The sequence below is a fragment of the Homo sapiens genome, chromosome 15 (genome assembly GCF_000001405.40).
Source record: "Homo sapiens chromosome 15, GRCh38.p14 Primary Assembly".
Lineage (NCBI taxonomy): Eukaryota > Metazoa > Chordata > Mammalia > Primates > Hominidae > Homo > Homo sapiens.
In genome coordinates this window covers 62,336,445-62,344,436 of record NC_000015.10, presented here as the reverse complement: position 1 = coordinate 62,344,436, position 7,992 = coordinate 62,336,445, and the positions used below count along the sequence as shown (strand labels likewise).

Genomic DNA, 7,992 nt, shown 5'->3' with positions numbered 1-7,992 from the left:
CATGGTTTATAATTGTCATTGCTTTCGTGACCACATTTTGGCTATTTTAGAATGAAGTTCAATTTTCTCAAACTGATGTTCAAGACCCTCAAGCATATGACCTGCATTTCCCTCAGGCAGCTGAGCAATCTTACTGCCAGCTCCCAGGTGCCTGTTCACTTCTCTCTTTTGCTGTCAGAGTTCTTCATGCTAGGAACTTGCCCTGCCCTCTCCTTGCCTTCCAAATATAATCCTTTTAGAGATAGCTGTTCTGTCATCCTTAGAATCTGCATCACAGACTTCAAAACTGTAGAATATGTTATACTGTTTCTATTTGTTTCTTCAAGTTGCATGTGCAGAAGCCTCATTCCTAAACAAAACTGTAAGCTACTTAAAGATAAGGACTGTGTCAATTTTTTCTTTTTCTCTTCTTTCCTTTTCTTTTTAAATTCTTAGGGTCAGGCCAGTAGCAGCAGGCTGTCAATAAATGTCTCTGAATTACCTCTAAATTTGCCACTTGTTCAAAGGCAGACATTTGACTTGGAAGTGCACTAGGAGCTAAAGGGAACCAGCAATAATAAAACCCGGTGAAATGCAATTTCCTGTTTTGTGTAGCACTCGAGTCAAATATTTCTGCCCTATCTCCTAGGAAATATAGAACAAATCGAAATTGAAAAAATGTAAGGAAGTCATCCTGAATGGTTGCTAAAGAAACAAAATAAAGCATCAGGTTTTCCTAACCATGGATTCCACGGCCGACAATTTGAACAGTAAGGCCAACCTTGGCCATGTGTGGCCCAGAGCCGGCCCGCACCTGTGCAGGTGTGGCTCATATTCCATTCTTTTCTGTTGGTTTTGGTTAACATTTACATCCTCCACTGCAGGTGAGAGGCTGACTGGAGGGTGCTTTCCTGGCAGCCAAGGCAAATGGCCATGGACCAGATGGCACCGGGTGTGTGTGGAAGGGCCGGCGGTCCTTCTCTCCTCTTCTGCGGAGTCCTCGGTGTTGCAGGCCTGGAGTGCAGCAGTGGAGGCAGAAGCCAGACTACATTTCCAAGACCCTCCTTCTGCCAGCTGCTTCTGCTGGGGGTCTGCCTGCGAGAGGCACTGATAGAAGGTGAAAGCAGGAAGAAGAAATGAGCCTCTGTGGCCTCCGGCCCCTTGAAGGGACCTCTGGCCACGGCAGCAGCCAGAGGGTGTGGGCTCCTGGTTCCCGATCAGGACCCCGCGCAGCCCCATCAGCACAGTGGCAAAGCCTCCAACAGGCCAGTGCCGTGCTGGCCGGTCGGGTGCCAGCATCCTGATGTCTGGGTGATCTCCTTCTCCCTTGTGCTCCCCCAGCCCCTTCAGCACCTTTTGCAACCAGTTTTCTGCATGAAATCCCGGCCTCAGCATGAACTATGTAAAGCTGGGCCCACACCTGGTAGACAGGCTGCAGTGAGGGGTGTGTTCAGCAGGCCTGAATTTCAGCCATAAATTTGGGGATAAGAGAAATATTGCATTTCCTTTGCTTTTTTTCTTTTTTCTTTTCTTTTCTTTTTTTTTTTTTTTTTGAAACAAGGTCTCGTTCTGTTGCCCATGTGGGAGTACAGTGGCACAATCATGGCTCACTGCAACCTCAGACTCCTGGGCTCAAGCAATCCTCCCACCTCAGCTCCCTGAGTAGCTGGGACCACAGCCTTGAACCACCACACTTGGCTAATTTTTGCAGTTTTGTAGAGACGGAATCTTACCATGTTGCTCAGGCTGGTCTCTAACTCCTGGGCTCAAGTGATCCTCTCATCTTGGCCTCCCAAGGTGGTAGGATTACAGGTGTGAGCCACCGTGCCTGACCGTGTTTGCTTTTTTTTTTTTTTTTTTGGAGATGGAGTCTCTCTGTGTCGCCCAGGCTGGAGTGCAATGGCGCAATCTCAGCTCACTGCAAGCTCCGCCTCCCAGGTTCATGCCATTCTTCTGCCTCAGCTTCCCGAATAGCTGGGACTACAGGTGCCCGCCACCACGCCCGGCTAATTTTTTGTATTTTTAGTAGAGATAGGGTTTCACCGTGTTAGCCAGGATGATCTCGATCTCCTGACCTTGTGATCCACCTGCCTCGGCCTCCCAAAGTGCTGGGATTATAGGCGTGAGCCACCGCGCCCGGCCTGCTTTTCTTAAATAAACTTAATTTAACCTTCAAGTCCGGTGACTGCTGGGCAGTCATCGCTAGGGCTGTGCTGATGTCCTAGGGGAGCACAGAGGTTCTGGCCATTCTTGGAGCGAGGCACTGGTGAGGCCCCCAGGTTGCAGTGAGGAGGCCCCCACTGTCTTAGTCTGTACCGTGCTTCAGGGCTGCCAGCTGTGTTGGGCCTTCTTCTACTGGGAGCACAGAAGCCTTTGTTAAGTTTGGGGCCCAGGCCTAGGATGCAGCCTGCCTGGGGCATCGCACAGTGCTTCCCTCTGAGGTCCTGCCACCTCGTGAGGTCTGCCAGGGAATAGGATGCTGGTCCTGTTTCCTTGTAGGAATCACACACTTCTCTCTCCTGTCTCTACCCTGGAGGAATTTCCTTTGGGTCTGAGACAATTCTTTCCCCACCTCTGCTTCCTTCAAAGTCCGTCTATCTTGTCTCAATAAGCCTATGCTTTTGGAAATAAAAGCCAGGAAGGGGCCTTGAAGGGACTACCACTTCCTGCCCTGCCTCAAATCTCCCCTGAGGTAAGGAGGCCAGGATCTCCTATCTGCTCAAATGGCAGAAAGGAAGGAGAACTCCAGAGAGAAGAATTTAAACTGATTTCTTCAAAGCTTCTCCTGCCAGAATTGAATATGCCGAGGAGCTGTATCACTTCTGTAGCATTCCTGCCAATATGCCCTAATCTGAATCTAACCATGAAGAAACAACCAAATTCGAATTGAATAACAGTCTACAAAATGTCTGCCTGTACTCTTCAAAAATGTCAATGTCCTGAAGGAAAAAGGTCAAGCAAGTCTTCCAGGAGAAAGGAGACTCAGAAAGACATGACAGCTCAGTGCAGTGGGGATCTTGAACTGGAAGGAAGATTAGGAAAAAAAAAATGCTACAAAGGATGTTGTTGAGACAATTGTTAAAATTTGAATATCATCTATCTATGTATCTATCTATCTATCTATCTATCTATCTATCTATCTATCTTTCTACTTATCTATCTATCATCTGTCTATATTTTTGAGATGGAGTCTCAGTCTGTCGCCCAGGCTGGAGGGCAGTGGCACGATCTCGCCTCACTGCAACCTTTGTCCCCCGGATTCAAGTGATTCTTCTGCCTCAGCCGCCTGAGTAGCTGGGACTACTGGTGCGTGCCACCATGCCTGGCTAATTTTTGTATTTTTAGTAGAGTTGTGGTTTCACCATATTGGCCAGGCTGGTCTCGAACTCCTGACCTCGTGATCCACCACCTCGGCCTCCCAAAGTGTTGGGTTTACAGGCGTGAGCCACCACGCTCGGCCTCATCTATATATTATATAGTGGTATTATTATAGCGTTGAATTTCCTCCGTTCATTGTATTGAGGTTATGTAAGAAAGCATCCTTGTTCTTAAGATCCACACTGAAGTATTTCAAAGAGGCATGATGTCTTCAGTGGACTCTCAAATGGTTCAGCTACACATATATACATACATACACATATATACATGTATACATACCTATACATATATGCATACACATATAAACATATATGTGTATGTATGTATATATCATACATATGTATTTAAAGCATATGTACATATAGTCAAAATGTATATATATGTCTGTATTATGCAAGTGAGGTAAGATATTAACAATTGGTGAATCTAGGCAGACTGTGTGGGAGAGTTCGCCTACTCTCAGAAGGGAAACAGGTCTGCCAGCGATGTGTCTGAACTGGCAGGAAGACCACAGCAGACAGAAGCTCCTGTTGATGCCACTTCAAGTTACCAGGATGGGAGGAGAAGCAGGTGATGAGGCCCGTGATTCTCCCAGGAATGAAAAGTGAAGGCTTTGGTGGAGGAGGCAGAGTTGGCCCAGGGAGTGGGTGGTGGTGGCGTGAATTGGATTCAGTTAAGGAAGAGCTACAAGATGGAATGTATCAGAGGGGCTCTGGAGAATTCTCAGGATTCTACTAAGTGGAATGTGGGTTGAAAGCAGAGGGTTCCTTGATCTAGGGTATGCCAAGGGCTGGCTATGGATGGGGACTTTGGGAGGGTAAGGAGAGTAGAGGAAGTGTTCCGGGTTCCTGATCGCTCGGCAAGTAGTGGGCACAATGATTTCTAATTATTTAGTGGGATTTGAACACATTTCAAGTGAGGCGGAGTACAAGGGGGTTGTGAGGGAGAAAACAGGTTGCGCCTTAGACAAAGTGTAGGCAGGAGCCATTGCAGGTGCTGAGCTGACTCATCCCCAGTGGAATCTTCTCCACCATGGTGGTTACCTCAGTTGGACGATGATAAAAGGTAGCTGGCTGCTCTTGAACCTGGGCTGGTATATCAAAAGCAAATCCAAAGAGGCTATAATCAGACAGGTGAAGTGTTGGCCATGGGCTGAGGCATCAGTGATCCTGAAGATCCGGGCCAAACTCACAGGCTGCTCCAGCTTTCTGCATGGATGTGTATGGGAGAGGCAGGTGACAGCCCCGGTCTCCTCCTGAAGAAATGCTCTTAGGCATTGTGAGAAATGTAGGTGTACAAGGGACCAGAGGGAAAAGGGTATGAGCCTGCGGGCAACACCACATTCAAATCTTGAGAGGCAGTTTCAGGCACTCATCCCAGCCAACCATGCGGGGTACCCATGTGTTAACTTATTAGTGTGTCCAGTGCCCTGAGAGCAGCATCGCACAATGTGGCAAACCCTCACCAGGGATGCTGGTGTGGAGGAATCCAAGAGGCTAAGAAAAGCCAGCTTCAGGCCGGGCATGGTGGCTCACGCCTGTAATCCTAGCACTTTGGGAGGCCGAGGCGGGCGGATCACTTAAGTCAGGAGTTTGAGACTAGCCTGGCTAACATGGTGAAACCTCGTCTCCACTAAAAATACAAAAAATTAGCTAGGCATGGTGGTGGGTGCCTGTAATCCCAGCTACTTGGGAGGCTGAGGCAGGAGAATCACTTGAACCTGGGAGGCGGAGGTTGCAGTAAGCCGAGATCGCGCCACTGCACTGCAGCCTGGGTGACAGAGCGGAAAAAAAAAAGAGAAAAGGCAGCTTCGACCTTCCATTAATCATCACCCCAGGAGGGGGAGTCAGGGAATTGGATTTATGCAGCTGAAAATTCAGATCTTTCCCAGAACTCAAGGAGTCGAAGGAGAGGTTAAAAGGGTAACAATGAGGTAGTTATAAGGTACAGTGGAGTTATATCAGGCATATATTTACTCAGTAAATGCAAATGTCTGTGCTAGAGGCTGCAGTAGAAGGCAGAGGGAGAAAAAGGAGAGAATGAGAGCAAGACCAGTGTGAGAGAAAATAAAACAAACCCCCGGGGTGCCTCACCACTCCTTGTTGTCCCTTTGCCTGGGCCACACCTTCGAAAATAGTCCTTTTACTAAATGTCATTTAATCATTGTTAGCTTTGAATATGTCGTCTCCAAAATGCATGTGTTGAGAACTTAATCCCCAGTGCAACAGTGCTGTGAGGTGTGGCCTCTGGCAGGTGCTCAGGTCATGAGGGCTCTGCCCTCATCAATGGATCAATGCCATTATCAAAAGGGCTTGCAGGAGTGGGTTTGCCTTCAGCTCTTCTGCCATGTGAAAGTGAGTTCTTCTCTTGCCCTTCTACCTTCCACCATGTGAGGGCACAGTACGGAGGCCCACCCCAGATGCCAGTGCTTTGGTCTTTGACATCCCAGCTTCCAGAACTGTGAGGATACATTTCTGTTCTTCATAAATTACCTAGTCTCAGGTATTCTGTTATAGCAGCAAAAGTGGACTAAGATAGTCACCCTCTGTGAGTGCCTATTGCTCCTTGCCAGGGCTTTGTCCCAGACAATGGTAAAGGTTATTTAGACTGTATGGGATACTGGCATTGAATGCATTTAGAGGAAAATGTTATCCTCAAGGCTTTTTACCTGGAAATGGTGCAGTTAAATACACACCTGTAGATGTAGTGGCTTTTATCAGTAGAACAGAGAAGCCAAAACCCAGGCCACACACTGGTGACTGATCACTTAACTCCCAGAGTCCAGGCTGATCCCACTGGGAGCAGAAGGGTTCCACTGTGCCATGTGCGTGTTTGGGCAGGGGTGTGGAGAAAGAGGATAAGGATGCTTCTAGGTTTACGGGTTCCCTGCTCAGATCCAGGACTCTTTACACATAGTTCTGGATGATTCATATGTGCTTAATGCGTAATAGAAACCCTGTGGTTATAGGTGGAACAAACTCACCCTCCTACAATAATAGCTACAGGTGAGGTTACAGGTGTATTTGTGTATATATAGAGAAAAGTCTAAGAGTATTTGCCAGTCGGTTAACAGTGGTTACTTCTAGCAGATAGGATTAGAGAGGGCTTTATCTTTCTGCTTTGGGTATTTCCCTCTTAATTAGCACTTTAAAGAACTTTGTTTTTGAGATAAGGTCTTGCTCCGTTGCCCAGGCTGGAGTGCAGTGGTATGATCATAGCTCACTGCAGCCTTGAACTCCTAAGCTGAAGTGATCCTCCCGCCTCAGCCTCCCAAGTAGCTGGGACTTACAGGTACGTACCACCGCACACAGCTATTTTCTTGTAGAGATAGGGTCTTGTTTTGCTGCCCAGGCTGGTCTCAAACTCCTGACTTCAGGCGATCCTCCTTCCTTGGTCTTCCAAAGTGCTGGAATTACTGGTGTGAGCTGCTGTAATGCACATTCGGTAATCCCATTTAAAAAATGGGATTACTGAATGCTACAGAAATTCTTTGAAATTTTTATTTGGGTTGCATTAAATTTCAACAGGAACTTAATAAAGAGTTGCATCTTTAGAATAATTTATCTCCTCATCCTGTACATGGTATGTTTCATTCAATATGACTTTTATACTTTACAAAACATTTGGTGGTGTGTGTGTGTGTGTGTGTGTGTGTGTGCATAAGAATAACTATAAAATACATTAAGTGTCTTCTCTGTGTTAGCCATTGTCCATTCATAGGCCTCACTTTTAAGACTATGAAGTAGGTATTGACAGATGAAATAGGCTCCAGGCTTGGTGGAGAAGTGGGAAGTGGAACAGGGCTCCCATTCTAGATCCAGATGAGATAAAAGCTTCAGCTTTTCTCTACAATGCTTTATTCGACACCATACTGCACTCTAGGTTTCCCACATTCTAAAGTGCATAAGCTGGAGAAGCTATACAATATCTATCACATAGATCTTTAAGCTATTTCTCCTTTAGGCAACTAATTATGATCTGGAGTATACTATAAATACGTGCATTAGTATAAAGTTATGAATTTTCCCTTAAAATATTGAATACTGTGAAATGTAACTTCATTCTAATGACTGTACTGGCCTATAAGAAATATTCTTGTTTCAAGAATTCAGATTACTTTTAATTAGCATTAAAAGTAATCACCCTCAAGCACTTTTGGAATGTACCATACTTAAACCATTTCACATGCCAGTAGTCATTTTTTCTTTAAGGTTGTTTTTAATTATTGTAAAGATATTTTTGTCTTTGAAAGAGGATTCTAGAATAAAGCTAGTGACAGAGATGTGATGCAGACAGACATGTGTCTCTTTTCTCTCACAGCCTCTAAGCCAGCCACAGAGCAGCTCTCAGGGTGGGAGGTGACAGCTGGACCTCTGAAGTTCAGTGGAGCTAGTTTGAATTCTAATTCTGTCATTTCCTTGTTGCATGTCCTTGAGTAAATTATTTAATTTCTTTATAAGTCAGGAAAATAGAAACCCACTGGCTATTCATTTAACAGATTTTTTTTTTTTTTTTTTGAGGTGGAGCCTCTCTCTGTCACCCAGGCTGGAGTGCAGTGGTGCGATCTCGGCTCACTGCAACCTCTGCCTCCCAGGTTGGTGCGATCTCGGCTCACTGCAACCTCTGCCTCCCAGG

At 46.1% G+C, this 7,992-nt stretch overlaps 1 non-coding gene across 1 annotated transcript; it reads right to left on the bottom strand.

The window, feature by feature from the left end:
- Positions 1 to 1,298: 1,298 nt before the first annotated feature.
- MIR6085 (microRNA 6085) lies at positions 1,299 to 1,408 on the bottom strand. The gene has a single exon (NR_106733.1). It is a non-coding gene; the product is annotated as a microRNA 6085 (primary transcript).
- Between the last annotated feature and the right edge of the window lie 6,584 nt (positions 1,409 to 7,992).